At 39.5% G+C, this 15,767-nt stretch overlaps 1 long non-coding RNA gene across 1 annotated transcript in view, besides 1 other annotated feature; it reads left to right on the top strand.

Moving 5' to 3' along the window:
- Positions 1 to 417: 417 nt before the first annotated feature.
- Positions 418 to 15,767, top strand: part of MGC27382 (uncharacterized) — a 139,866-nt gene continuing 124,516 nt past the window's right edge. Inside the window, exon 1 of the long non-coding RNA NR_027310.2 lies at positions 418 to 548. This is a non-coding gene — a long non-coding RNA (uncharacterized MGC27382). The remainder of the gene's footprint in view (positions 549 to 15,767) is intronic.
- Positions 7,970 to 8,883: an enhancer, noted in NCBI's record as "OCT4-NANOG hESC enhancer chr1:78702835-78703748 (GRCh37/hg19 assembly coordinates)". NCBI's record gives its function as "activates a minimal SCP1, AML or CMV promoter by ChIP-STARR-seq in naive and primed H9 embryonic stem cells {active_cell/tissue: H9 hESC(naive and primed)}" and the evidence as "EXISTENCE:reporter gene assay evidence [ECO:0000049][PMID:30033119]".

Here is a 15,767-nt window from a genome sequence, read left to right on the forward strand (position 1 = left end):
AGTAATAATCAGGAGTTTATACATGTATCTCAGTATACTATAAAGCAATAATTAGCTCTGATGTTATAATTTCAGAATATACTACTGTAGAAGTAGGTAAGGAAAGGTGACTGCATTGGTCTTCAAACAGTTGCTGTGAAGTTAGGCAGAAAAGGGATGCAAAGAGAAATAATTTTTTTAAAGAGATTACAAGTAAGTGTTCTCTCTCTATGCAATCTTTACAAAATCAAGCACATTTCCGATCCAAGGCAGAGAACGAGTATTTCCTTTACTTTCCTTGAGATGAAATACAAACTTTAAATGCTTCCTTGAAAATTATGAAATCCTTTCAACCAAATGGCTGCAGGGAGTTGAAATCTGAGCTGACGTCTGAGTCAGACAGTTGGAATAGTTTTCATGAGTAGTACTACTTGTGCCATTGCTGATTTGGTAACCACCTCAGAGCCTACCCTATTTATTCCCAGCATGGACCTAAATCCACTTCAGCCAAAAATGAACAAAGAAATGATGAAGAACAGAGCCTGTTTCTTTCTCAGTGGTGTACTCAGGTTTGAAAATAAGACAAAATGATTGTCTGCTTGTTTTCTGTTTCCCTCAAGTTTCTGAAAGGTCTTAACTCTTTCCTTCACCTTTTCCCGTAGTTTCCTATACATTTTAATTATCTGGATATAGCCATTGTCCTGCCATGTTGAACCTTGTAGAGTTGGCTTTTCTGTGATATTTCTAGATAATTAAGGTGGTAATCAGTTTGATTCCAAATGTGCTACATTTTATGCTTATCAATCAAGATGTCCAAATTAATAACAACATATCCAAATTTGAATGGTTTCTCAATTTCTTTGGAGTAGTGTTACAGGAAGACGATATGTTTTAGAATCATACATATCTTTTTGAATTCTGTTTTTGTTACTACAAGGTATGAAGTCTTGAGTACATATCTTAATATTTCCGAATCGGAAAATGTGGAAAATAACTCTATCATAGGAATTGCTTGAGATTTAAGTAAGTTAAAAGGCCTTAATAAATGATACATGGTTTTCTCCTAAGCAAACACTTCAACTAATATTGAAGTTTTATACTGATTCTCTAATCTTACTTTTAAAAAGCATGGTTAATAACCAATATTAGCATAAGTAAATGCAGGAAAAGTTAGCAATAAGAAATTAAGATTTTGTGACATTTAAAATTAATATTTTAGTGATATAACTATTATCTGCAAATTACTTTGAGTAGTTGCAGAGAAAGTGACAATCCATGTTTAATATAATATTTTATTTTACTAATGAAGAAAGTGTATTGAACAAGGAGTTGATTGACTTGCTCAAGATCACACAGTTAAAGGCAAGCCTAGGTAGATTAATGGATTTCTAGTTGAGGGCTAATACAGTGTATCCAGTAATTTCTCACTTCTATCCTCCTCTTTCAGTTTGCACAGTCTTCATCCCACTTCAGAACCTTGCTGTTACTCACTTGGACTACATCAAAAGCATCCTAATTGGCACCTCTGATCCAAGTTGTTCTTCTCTCCAGCTCGTCCTCCTTGGTGTGGTCAGATTAATCAGACTGTTACATTTACTTGCTCAGAAACCTCTACTGGTTGCCTAGTGTCTACTAAGTGAATTCCAAACTTACTAGCCTGGCACTCAATATCTTTCATACTATAGCCTCAGGTTCATACATTTAACTAACAAGTACTTATTGAGTGCCTACTATGTGCCAGACTGGTCTAGGTGCTGGGATATAAGAGATATATAGTCTCTGCCCTTACTGAGCTTATATTCTAGTTCAGCGGTTCTCAAAGTGTAATCGGGGGACCCTGAGGGTCTCTGAGACCCTGTTAGGTGTCTGCCAAGTCAAAATGATTTGTTATGATGTTATTTGTCATTTTCTCATTAAAAAAAGTATGTACAGTGAAGTTTTCCAGAGGCTACCTGACATGTGATATCACAAACAGACTGAATATAGAAGCAGACATAGGAAACCAGTTGTCTTCTATGAAGCCAGACATTAAGGAGCATCACAAAAATGCAAAGCAATGCCACTCTTGTAATTTTTTTTGTTTGAAAGATAGTTTTTTCCATGAATATATGTGTAATGGTTAATGTTAGGTATCAGTTTGACTGGGTTAAGGGATATCCAAATAGCTGGTAAAGCATTATTTCTGGGCATGTCTGTGAGGTTGTTTCTGGAAGTGATTGGCATTTGAATCAGTGAGCTGAGTAAGGAAGATCTGCCCTCACCAAATGTGGGCAGGTATCATCCAATCCATTGAGGGCTCAGATAGAACAAAAGAGCAGAGGAAAGGCAAATTTACCTTCTGGAGCTGGGGCATCCATTTTCTCCTGCCCTTGGACATCAGAACTCCAGACGTCTGGGCCTTGGGACTTTGGGACTTACACCCTCCACTCCCTTGGTTCTTGGGCCCTGTACTTAGAATGAATCATACCACCAGCTTCCCTTGTTTTCCAGCTTGCAGATGGCATAAGATGGGACTTGTTGGGCTCCATAATCACGTGAGCCAATTCCCATAATAAATCACCTCTTATACACACACACACACCCCCACACACCCACACACTATAAGTTCCGTTTCTCCAGAGAACTCTGACCCATACAATATGTTAAACATGTAATGGATTTATTGTAAAAATGAATAAATATTTAGCTATTTAAAATTTTCTCAATTTAACTGTCTGGTACAGTAAGTATTTATAGATATAACTCACATAAACAAAAGCTCTTTGGGGCTTTTACTAATTTTTGATAATGACCAAAAAGTTTGAGAACTTTTATTTTAGTAATTCTAGAAAATAAACAGACAATATAAAGTCAATATAATAATATACTGTCAGCTAGTGACAAAGGTCATGAAATAAAATGCAGCAGGATAAACAAATAGGTCCACTGGGTGTCAGTAACAATCACTGTCTACAACCTGTGCTCCTATTAAACTCAATCATCTAACATTCCCAGAACACAATTCATGCTTTTCCACTTCCATGTCTTTGTAATGCTGTTCCTTCTGCCTAGCTTGCCTTTCATCTCCTATTTCAATGCCTCCTCACTTTCATCTGTCACAATTCTATTCTTCTTTGAAGACCTGTCTCAAATATCACCTGAACGATGATTCCTTCTCTTATGTTCTTCTATCAGAAGTGATTTGTTTCCCTTTTATTTTTTCCATCTTCAATGATATTTTGTTCAATCTCTCTTGTGAAACTCATAATTTTCTGCTTTGTAAAAAGTATACTACTCATATCCTTCTCAAGTTTATGATATTTCTTAAAGTTGAGTACTATTTCCTATTTCCTCTGAATATGTTGTCTTTTCTGTATCAATGAACCTTAGGCTCAGCAGTAACAGAAAACCTCCAAAAATAATAGTGGTTTCACCTAGATAGAAGTGTGTTGTTTCTCATATAAAAGTTGGAAGGTAGGCAGGACAGGCTGATAATGACTCTTGCTCTAAAAGTCCTTGGGGCTGCAGGCTCCTTCAATCTCACTGCTCCTCCATCCTAAGAGTGTGGTTGTCCTTAGCTTCAAGATGGCAGCATCTTTGTTTCAGGAAGAAGAAAGGAGGGAGAGACAAGGGAGCTAACCATATGGACCAGCTCTCTCCAAAGGAAAGTTTGTGGAAGTTGCTGATATGACACTTCTGTTGATATCCTGTTGATAGAACTTAGTCACATGTGCATACCTAGCTTCAGGGGAGGTTGGGAAATGCAGTCTTTATTTGTAGTGGTCTTGTGCTCAGCTGTGGAAAAAGGGGAGAATAGATATTGGGGAACAAGTTTCAGGCTCTGTTATACTCCCCAAAGTGTCTATCATGGGCACTTATCCCAGGTAAATGCTTAAAATTAACTTTCAGCAAATAAGTAATACTGAGCTTCATTCTCACAATTATTTGTTGATAATAAATAAATACACTGGAAATTTTATTCATCATATATTTGCTTGTTGTCTTTAATGAGGTGTTAGAAATGATTAAGGAATTCTAAAATCTCTCTTTCAGACTTAACTACTGCAGGGTTCAATAGCTGATCAATTCCTTCTAGCATATCAAAAAGAGAAGGCTTTTCTATTAGACCAGCCAGCTTGCTGTTTTCATCATTTCACCTTCTTCTGTTCACCCTTCTCCATAGCGGTAAAGACATCACTCAACTCTTCCTTGCTAGAAGTGTTCCCAAGCTTCCCTGTGTTACGTGACGTCTTTGTTCTTAGCTCCCCTGTAGACCCAGAGAAAAATATCCCTTGAAAGAAACCCTCGGTGGCTTGCTCAAGCTATTAGGTTAGTTTGCATATTTGTTCCACCTAAGAGCAGATAAAAGAACATTTGTAATTTTAAAGTACTAAAAATATTGGGGCATTGAACTTCTGCTGTGTGTTTGCTTTCCAATTCTTCTCATTGCATGAAAATCTTAGTAAATGATAGAGCCTACCTTTAAGTTTGAGTCTGACTCTTTATTTCCACAAAATGTTTCACTGGAATCTATAGAAGCAACCTCAACACCCCCCACCCCCACACTTCCGGTCTCGACATACTGTCTAATTACCTCACATGTTGTCTACTTCTGGTTCTCAGAGCTTTGAGGAAGTCATTCCTCCACAAAGAAAACTCTGGAATTCCTACATGATTGAATTTATATTTAAAATAGTCTACCTGGTTATACTAGGTCCATGGCCTATAAATATGGAAACTTACAGTTTTAGGATGTTGGCAATTACCCCAGAAATTGTCTTTGAAAAAAGTTGAAATAAAAAGAGGAATCTGTTAGAAATGGCATTTACTCTGTTTGCTACTATTTCATTTTTTATTTGTACATGACTTATTCCCTGTGGATTATATACTTCTTGAGTACCACAGCTGTGTCTGATGAATGGCTTTAGTTATAAAGTGAAATAAAGTTGGAAGTAACTGAGATAAATTAAGACAGTGATAATGACATGGGGTTTGTTCTTACCATGACATGAGATTTTCACAAAAGAAATGAATATTGTAGAGGACTACATTCATTCATCCATTCATTAATCTTGCAAATATTTACTGAGCATCAACCAAGTGCCCAGTACTCTCGTAGATACTGGGAGACAGTGGTGAGAAATATTGATCTAGTCTCTGTCTTTATGGTATGTATAGCCTAGAAGATAAAGACAGACAAAAAAGTAATAACTGTAAAATATGATAAATGCTTGTTAGGGAAGCAGAGATTGCTATGGGAGCCGTCAAGGGAACATTTATAGTCTTTATAGAGCTTTCACATACAAATACCTCATTTGAGCCTCATTAAGCCATGTTCAGTGAGTAGTGCAGGGATTATTCTTCTCATTTACAGATAAGGAATTAGACTCAGAAAGGTTAGCAAGATGCAAAGTCCCCATAGACCCAGAATTGAGCTTTTGACTCCAAACCCAATGCACTCACCAATACTCCAGACAGCAGCTGGAGTGCCAGGGAGTGTGAGGTCTGTGGCTCCGCTGCATCTGCTTCCTGTCTTTATGATGTTCTAGTCCCAAGCCTGTATAATAACCCCATTGGCATCAATTAATTAATTCTTGGCATCCAATGAAGCTGCCTGGAAGCCATGAGGGTGTTCTGCCTAGCATGGCTCCAAGCCGTGGGCAGCTTATCCAGTGTTCATGCTGGGAACAGCCTCTTCAATTAGGAGAGGGGCCAAGGGATCTTTTAGGCTGATACAGAACCGACAGAAGCTCAGCTCAGCCATAAAGTCTTATTAGAAGGAGCCCCCATGCTTCAGTCTGCTCAGTGGTCTGTTTTCCTGTCCTATGAAGTAAAAGTCAGATTCTCCAATAAGAAAACAACATTAAAATGTCCAGAGTTTGTTTTGCTTTGTGTTTAGTACCACAAAGTTGAGCAGAGGAATAAACACTGTTGTTGGGCAGAAAAACTTCCCTTCTTGCTTTGTACACCTAACTGCATTTTATTCCCTAATTTTTCTAGGAAAATGCTTTTTCTTTCTTATACATTTTTGAACTTGTTGGAAACTTCCAAGTGACATGAGAACTTTTTAGGGATGAGGAAGCTCTGGCAAAATTGAGGAGCTGGTGATACTTGTTTCCTTGATTTGTAGTGTAGTGGAAAGACCATGGTACTTTGGACCATGCAGTAAGAACATGGGCTGAGTTATTATCTCAGCACTTTCATTTTTTGGCTGTATCAACTTTGGAAATATGAGGACTTCCTTGAACCTCAGTTTCTTCAAAGGATGGTTATGAGGATTAGAGGAAAGACAGGTAATATAGCAGGCATAGCCTGGCCAATAATTGGCCCTCGATAAATGGGAAATATTATCATGATGGTTAAAATACCCTTTCTTCTGAGGACTCAATACAAACTCTAGTATCTCCTCTAAGCCTGACCTTTCTGGCAACACGAGTTCCTCTAGACCTTTACCGTTATCATAAATTTCTTGTTTTTTTTTTTTTTTAATCCTCCCAGCTAGGGCATTTATGATTATTTAATCTACAAATACTAATTTACAGTCTAGCTGGAGAGATAGGATATAGGTAACAGGACAAAGTATAACAAGTGTCAATGAGTGACATAGTATTGGTGCTGTAGTATTTCAGATGAATAAAATATGACCATGGGCTGGGATTTTTGAGGATTTGAGCAGACACAGTTGATAATTTACACTTGAATGGGTAGTTGGGAAGGGCTGGAACAGGAACAAAACCTATCTAGGTAGGGACGGTGGACAGGGGGATGAAAGAATAACAGAATTTTAGATATTAGTTTGCAAAACATGGTGTCTCAGTGGTAATGGAAATAGATCAGATCCCTAGCAAGTAACTGGCAAAAAGGTCAAGATAAAGCACCAGGACAGTGACCAATGGTGGGGAGTTTGGGAATGGTAATATTCAAAAGTTGAGGCAGTCATGCACAGTAGGTCCTCACTGTCTAAATTACACTTCCTTTGGCAGGAGACTTGGAGGATTAGCCCAGCCATTGAAGGTTTTTAGGGTCCAAGTCTATGGTGGTAGTGGTGGGGAAGGGTAAGATACAGTGTAGATTTTTCCAAGACTCAGTGCACCTGTGGATCTTAAGATGGTGTTTTGCAAACTTCCTGGACCACATGCTTCAAAATCACCTGGAAGGCTTGTAATAAATACAGATTACTAGAATATCTGAGAATAGACTCTGAGGACATCCATTTTAAATAGGATTTTAGAGAATCTTATATATGTTAAAGTTAAAGAACACTGGGTAATTCATATTAGATTCCAGATTTCAGAGACATGCTGGAGAGTCCTGAAATAAAAAATCCTGTGAAGAAATTGGCTTTTCCTTACTCCATAAAGAGTAGTTTGTAGGAAGTCTGGTTGTACTGAAGAAAAATCTGGAGACAGGTCTTTTGTCCTGGTAGTGAGATTGCAAGATTTGTCTGAAAAGAAAGTTGGAGTTTCTGAAACAGGAATCAAGGCAAAAAGAATCCCAAGAACAAGAAATGGAGCAGAGAGACTGCGAATTGAACAAGATATGATAAAGGATTTGCAACAGAGTTGTTGTTCACCTCTTACCTTCCTCAACTAGACTGTGGGCTCCCTGAGGGCAGGGCTCTTAACTTCCTTATCCTTATTTCTTTTGCGCCTGATATAGGGTCTGGTGCAAAGTAGGCTTTCAGATGTTTTTTAAATAAGTTAATAAGTAAATGTGAGATTGGCAAGGGTGACTTGATGCTGAGCTCTGGAATGTGGGCTGGAATTACTTGGTCTGGGTGACTCAGTTCATACTGGGTCCTGGGATTTGGATCTGGAGCTGCACTTGTAGATTTGGAGTTAAGAGAGGGAGGAATCAGACTGATTGAAGACATTGGCTGAGGCTACAGTTAGGATAGTTTAGGGTGACTTCTGAAAGAAGGTGTGATTTGAATCTGGCTTGAAGCAAGACAGATATTAAATAATTCAATCCAACTTAATGGACATTAGTTGGGCATCTGGTCTGCACAATGGCTTGCAACCCAATGGTGGGTAAAATACAGTTCTTGCCTTGTAGGAAACCAAAAGGAAAGAAATGACTGAAACATAATGTTATATTTGGATGGGGAGGTATGGGATGTGAAAAGGAAAACTATGGAGGAAAATTGAGAGGAGGGATAATGTTTACCTGGGCCTTAAAAATTGGTCAAGCTTTGTTCTACAGTTAAGGCAGGGAAGGACTCTCAGTGGAGAAAACAGCCAGAATAAGAGTAGGTAGGCGTGAAAGTGAAGGTGACCTGGGAGGTAGCCTCTGTGGTTTGGTGGATGAGAGCACAGCATGAATTATGGGTAGGGGGTCTGGACCTCAAACAAAGGTTAATGGGTTAACAAGGGGGGGTTTATTGGGTGTTAATGGGTGTTAACAAGGGCGGATTTATTCTACAAACATTTAAATTTGTCAAAGTGTTTGTTTTAAGCAGAAGAATCACACAATTCAACTTATATTAGGAAGAGAATTTGGGCCAGAGGGTAAAAGAAGGCCTGCAGGAGAGGAAGGCCAGAGGGAGGAATCTGGGCAGGGCAGCAAGGCGAGCCACACTTCACCTAAACTAATTCCTGCTGAGATACTAAAGTAAATAATGGCTTAAGACAAACTCCCTCTGAGTGAGCTGTTTGCCTTTGAACTGGCCCCTCCTCACCTGGAGGAGGTGTGACTTCTAGTGGATAGACTTGCCAGGCCACTGGGAAGATTTGCCAATTTTTGATTCATTCTTCTCACGCCCATAACTGGCTCTTACTAGCTGTTCGGCCCTGAATATGAAATGCAGTTTTGTGACCTGGCTGAGAGTTCACAGGCCCTAGAGCCCAGGTTGCTTTATGATTTACCAAAAAAAAAAAAAAAAAAAAAAAAGTTATGGTAGGAACACTTAACATGAGATCTGTCCTTGGAACACATTTTAAAGTGTGTAATACAGGACCGTTAACCATAGGCACAATGTTGTACTGCGGATCTCTAGAGCTTCTTCATGCTGCACAGCTGAAACTTCATGCCTGTTGACTAGCAACTCCCCATTTCCCCTTCTCCCCAACCTCTGATAACCACTATTCTATTCTCTGCTTCTGAGTTTGACTATTTTAGATACCTCATATGAGTGGAATCATGCCTCATTTGTCCTTTAATAGAACTGCTATATGATTCAGTAATCCTACTTCTGAGTATTTATCCAAAAGAGTTGAAATCAGGATCTCAGAGAGATATTTGCACTCTCGTATTTGTTGCAGCACTATTCACAACAGCTAAAAGGTGGAAACAAACTAACTGCCCATCAATGAATGAATGGATAAAGAAAATGTGGTATATACAGCTAGCTCTCTGTATCCACAGGTTCAAGCAATCACAGATGAAAAATGTAGTATATAAAAAATCCCCCCAAAATAAAAATAGTACAAATAAAAAATAATACAGTATAACAACTATTTACGTAGCATTTACCTTGTGTTAGCTATTAAAAGTAATCTAGAGATGATTTAAAGTATACCGGAAGATGTATTTAGGTTATATGCAAATACTATGCCATTTTATATAAGGGTCTTGTACAACCTTGGATTTTGGCATCCTTGGGGCTCTCAGAACCAATCTGGGGTAGATACCAAGTGACAACCGTAAATACAATATTACTCAGCGTTGAAAAAAGAAGGAAATACTGCCATATATGACCACATAGATGAAGACATTATGCTCTGTGATTTAAAAAAATTGACCAACATATGGTGGGAATGTAAATTAGTTCAACCATTGAGGATGATAATGTGGCGATTCCTCAAGGGTCTAGAATCAGAAATACCATTTGACCCGGTAATCCCATTACTGGGTATATACCCAAAGGAATATAAATCATTCTACTATAAAGACACGTGCATATGTATGTTTATTGCTGCACTATTTACAGTAGTAAAGACATGGAACCAACCCAAATGCCCATCAATGATAGACTGGATAAAGAAAATGTGGTACATATACACCATGGAATACTACGCAGCCATAAAAAAGAATGAGATCATGTCCTTTGCAGGGACATGGATGAAGCTGGAAGCCATCATCCTCAGCAAACTAATACAGGAAAAGAAAACCAAACACCGCATGTTCTTACTCATAAGTGGGAGTTCAGCAATGAGAACACATGGACATAGGGAGGGGAATAACACACACTGGGGCCAGTTGGGGGGTCGAGGGCGAGGGGAGGGAGAGCATTAGGATAAATAGCTAATGCATGTGGGGGCTTAAAATCTAGATGATGGGTTGATAGGTGTATAAAACCACCGTGGCACACGTATACCTATGTAACAAATCTGTACATTCTGCACTTGTATCCTGGAACTTAAAGCAAAATTAAAAAAAAAAAGATTGAAGAAAATTGACCAACATGAGTGTTTACTGTCTGTACCCTGAAGAGTGCTTCCTCAAAGCCATTCCAAATGAGGATCCCCTAGAAGATCCCAAGCACACCAGTGCTGAGGGCAGAGTCAACAACTTCTCTTTTCCCCAAATGGTCTTCAGCCCAGGAACCAGGACTTACAAGCCCAATTATTGTTACTATATGGATTCTTATTATCAAAGTTCTGGATGTCACATTTTCTCAACTGTAAGAAAAGCTGTTGCTTTTAGTGTTAGTAAATGCATTAGAAAGTTCTGTGAATTTACAATAGCACAGAAATGGACTCCACCTAGGTGCCCAATCAATGGTGGATTGGATAAAGAAAATGTGGTCCATATACACCATGGAATACTATGCAGCCATAAAAAAGTATGAAATCATGTCTTTTGCAGCAACATGGATGCAACTGGAGGCCATTATCCTAAGTGAATTAACAGGAACAGAAAACCAAATACTGAGAGAGGGAGGAGGCCAAGGGTTGAAAAATTACCTATCAGGTACTATGTTCACTATTTGGGTGACAGATTCAATTGAAACACAAATCTCAGTATTACATAATATACGCATGTAACCTGCAGCTCTAACTCCTGAATCTAAAATAAACATATAAAATAAAATACAAAAAAGAAAGTTTATGAATTAAAACAAAGTTAAAATGATATTAAAACTGCTCTTTTTTTCCATTCTTTCATTCTTTTCTACCTACTCCCTTCCTTACAAACCCAACAAACATACTCTGTCTGCCAATAAACTGTATGTTTTAGAATAACAATAGATGAATCCTATGGTTTGATTCTGTCCTGGTTGTGTAGTAATGACATACTAGAAGGAGCGTGTTAGCTCAGAAATAAAAACAATTGGGTATTATTCTTTTCAAGGGCACTAACTGATGTGTATCCTGGGGTGATTACTTCACTTTTCTATGCCTTAATTGCTGTAACAAGAGGGAGTTAGACTCGGCTCTATCTCCACAGTTCTGTCTGAGTCTAAGAATCACAGCTTCTCTAAGCAATGCAGGAGTGATGGAATACTTTTTTACATAGTGGAAAAACTTGAACACTGCTTTGGAAAGTTGATTTACCTTTAAAATGGGTATTTGTTGATTGCTTCCTTGGTGTCTATTTCTTAATTTCTTTAACAGACTTGAGTTTTTGTCTTTAAGGTTGGGTTCTGCTTTGCTCAGCTATGCATCTGGCATGGACTGGATACCACGTCTGGCTCCAGTGGTGTATCCTGCCTGGCTTAAACCAACCAGTATATCCCTTTCTGGCAAACGGTGAGATACAGCCAGGCAAGGAACCAGATTCTGCCTGTCTTTGTGGACCGCATGAAGGAATTTGGGCTTTATTTAAAGCAGAGTGGGTGGCCTCTGCAGGGTTTTAAACAGAGGAGCAGCATGATCAGATCTGCATTCCATTTGGACCATGTCTGGCTCAGGGTCATGAGGCTCCCCCTCCAGTTTTGTTCCTCTGTGTGTTTGCACTGTTCCCTCAGCTTCCTCTCTATCTGCTGCCTCTTTGCTTTTAAAACACCCTTAAACTGACTGGAGAAAAGAATGAAATGGGCACTGTGTGTTCCTAGTACTTGTTCCAGCACTCCCTCTGTGGCAATTTGTTTTTCCCGGTAAATATAATTTTCCCTTTCTTAATTATGATTTGAGTTTTCGGTAGCTCTGACCTGTAAATTGGCACTAATTTTCTGCTTTTTCAATCTTAAAAATGGGATCCAGCAGTGGAGGTGTGGACTTTAATAACCTTGTCTGTGACTGGCTTCCCTGTGGCAAGCAGCTGCCAGTGGGGCTCATACTGTGGCCCTTCTTTGGGGTCTTGTTTTGTGCCGCCAGAGCACAGTCTCACCCAGAACTTATCCCAGCAGCGAGGAGCTGCACAGACTGACTCGCAGATATCTCTGTCCTCACTCCTTCCAAAGGGCCTTCATAATGAAAATAAAATGTAGCTCCAAACAGGATCACTTGAAGCCCTTAGTCCCCTCTTGCACTTGTTGGTTACACCCCAGAGCAAGCTCATTCCTTTGCTTGCTTTCACTCTAAAGGGTTGAACCTTGTTTCTGGGTCTGCCTGTAAACTCCTGGAGGGGCCGGGGTCCTTCCAGTTGCTTCTTCCACAGAGACCTCTGGGCACAGTGAGTGCTGGATAACACCAGTAGAATGACTGAAAAGGCAGAGAAATTAAAAAGTTCTGAGTCTGGGTGTTTTTTTTTGTTTTGTTTTTGTTTTTTTGAGACAGGATCTGGCTCCGTCACGGAGGCTGCAGTGCAGGGGTGCGATCTTGGCTCACTGCAACCACTGCCTTCCAGGCTCAAGCAATCCTCCCACCTTAGCCTCCAGAGTAGCTGGGACTACAGGCATATGCCACCACACCCGGCTAATTTTTGTATTTTTTGTAGAGATGGGGTTTCACCATGTTGTCTAGGCTGGTCTCAAACTTCTGAGCTCAAGCGGTTCTCCTGCTTCGGCCTCCCAAAGCGTTGGGATTACAGGAGTAAGCCACTATGCCTGACCACTCTATGTGTCTTTTGTTTGCTAATGAGGTAGCTGGGGGCCCCTAGGTAGCCTCAGGATGGGGCTGGTCACCCAGAAAGACCAAAGCATGATTAGAGGGTTGGGACTTTCAACCCTTACTCTCAACCCCCTGGTGTGGTAGAGGGGCTAAAGGTTGAACTGATCACCAATAGCCAATGATTTAACCAGTCATGCCTATGTAATGAAGCCTCCATAAAAGCCCAAAGGACTGGGTTTGGGGAGCTTCCTAATAGATCAACTTGTGGGGGTTCCTGGAGGGTGGTATGCCACTTGATCCATACCTTGCCCTGTGCATCTTTACAATAAATGGGCAAATAAAGTGTTTTCCTGAGTTATGTGAGCCACTCTAGCAAATCAATTGCACCCAAGGAACAGGTTGTGGGAACCCTGGTTTATACCCAGTCAGTCAGACATAGTGACAATCTACTACTTACCACTGGTATCTGAAGTGAGGGGCTGTCTTGTGGTACTGAGCCTTCAACCTGTAGGATCTGACGCTATCTATAGGTGGACAGTGTCAGAATTGAATTGAATTAGAGGATACTCGCTGGTGTCTGCTATAGAATTGCTTGCTTGTCATGTGTGGAAAACCCCCACAAATCTGATGTCTGAAGTGCTGTATTGAGTGGATGACAGAGATTAAGGAAAAGCAATTCCTCCTCCCTTATCTTTTGTAATAGATTTTTCTGCTTTATCTTGATTATTATTCACCCTGGCTCTCTTTTTCCCCCAACCTTGTTTTCTATTGCTCTATAGCACATTTCACCATCAGACAATATTGTATATTTTATATTTTGCTAATTTACTTGTTTATTATCTGCTTCCCTGCACTGGGGTATAAGCTCCACAAGGGAACAGAGTCTGTTCTGAGCTGCATTCCCAGCACCACACAGCGCTTGGTACAGGTGCTCTATGAATATCTATTGAGTGAATCTGTCCCACCTTTGAAGATGGTTTATTCTTTGGATTTTGCCCTCCTTTTCTTGACTCTTCTCTAGGGCTGGAGTTGTCTGGTAGAATGCTGTTTGGACTCATGTTGCTTTGCTCTGTCGTGATTTGAAGATCACACTATCAAGGTATCCAGGTACTTGGAAAAAAGGCAAAGTGGCATCAGGCCAGCAGCTCGCTAACAGTCTTGAAGATTTTATTTAGATGAGAGCTGTTTGGTTTATTTGGAACCCACTGGGGGTACTTTTTATCAGAAATAATGACTTACTGGGCTTACTGTGTACTGTACTGAATACCTTGCCTACATTTGCTTGATTCATTCTTACAATAAATCTATGATGTTTTCTTTTTTTTTTTTTTTTTTTTTTTTTTTTTACGCAGGAATTGTCTTTTATTTTTTGGCTTAGAAAGATATTGTTTTATAAACAGTGGGGCAAGACACTATTAAATTGTTTTCCAAAAATTTGCCTGGCAACTTTCTTTTTTTTAATTTTTTTTATTTTTTTTTATTTTTTTTATTATACTCTAAGTTTTAGGGTACATGTGCACATTGTGCAGGTTAGTTACATATGTATACATGTGCCATGCTGGTGCGCTGCACCCACTAATGTGTCATCTAGCATTAGGTATATCTCCCAATGCTATCCCTCCCCCCTCCCCCGACCCCACCACAGTCCCCAGAGTGTGATATTCCCCTTCCTGTGTCCATGTGATCTCATTGTTCAATTCCCACCTATGAGTGAGAATATGCAGTGTTTGGTTTTTTGTTCTTGCGATAGTTTACTGAGAATGATGATTTCCAATTTCATCCATGTCCCTACAAAGGATATGAACTCATCATTTTTTATGGCTGCATAGTATTCCATGGTGTATATGTGCCACATTTTCTTAATCCAGTCTATCATTGTTGGACATTTGGGTTGGTTCCAAGTCTTTGCTATTGTGAATAGTGCCGCAATAAACATACGTGTGCATGTGTCTTTATAGCAGCATGATTTATAGTCCTTTGGGTATATACCCAGTAATGGGATGGCTGGGTCAAATGGTATTTCTAGTTCTAGATCCCTGAGGAATCGCCACACTGACTTCCACAATGGTTGAACTAGTTTACAGTCCCACCAACAGTGTAAAAGTGTTCCTATTTCTCCACATCCTCTCCAGCACCTGTTGTTTCCTGACTTTTTAATGATTGCCATTCTAACTGGTGTGAGATGATATCTCATAGTGGTTTTGATTTGCATTTCTCTGACGGCCAGTGATGATGAGCATTTTTTCATGTGTTTTTTGGCTGCATAAATGTCTTCTTTTGAGAAGTGTCTGTTCATGTCCTTCGCCCACTTTTTGATGGGGTTGTTTGTTTTTTTCTTGTAAATTTGTTTGAGTTCATTGTAGATTCTGGATATTAGCCCTTTGTCAGATGAGTAGGTTGCGAAAATTTTCTCCCATGTTGTAGGTTGCCTGTTCAGTCTGATGGTAGTTTCTTTTGCTGTGCAGAAGCTCTTTAGTTTAATTAGATCCCATTTGTCAATTTTGTCTTTTGTTGCCATTGCTTTTGGTGTTTTGGACATGAAGTCCTTGCCCACGCCTATGTCCTGAATGGTAATGTCTAGGTTTTCTTCTAGGGTTTTTATGGTTTTAGGTCTAACGTTTAAATCTTTAATCCATCTTGAATTGATTTTTGTATAAGGTGTAAGGAAGGGATCCAGTTTCAGCTTTCTACATATGGCTAGCCAGTTTTCCCAGCACCATTTATTAAATAGGGAATCCTTTCCCCATTGCTTGTTTTTCTCAGGTTTGTCAAAGATCAGATAGTTGTAGATATGCGGCATTATTTCTGAGGGCTCTGTTCTGTTCCATTGATCTATATCTCTGTTTTGGTACCAGTACCATGCTGTTTTGGTTACTG

This window comes from Homo sapiens, chromosome 1 (assembly GCF_000001405.40).
Source record: "Homo sapiens chromosome 1, GRCh38.p14 Primary Assembly".
In the NCBI taxonomy this organism is placed as follows: domain Eukaryota; kingdom Metazoa; phylum Chordata; class Mammalia; order Primates; family Hominidae; genus Homo; species Homo sapiens.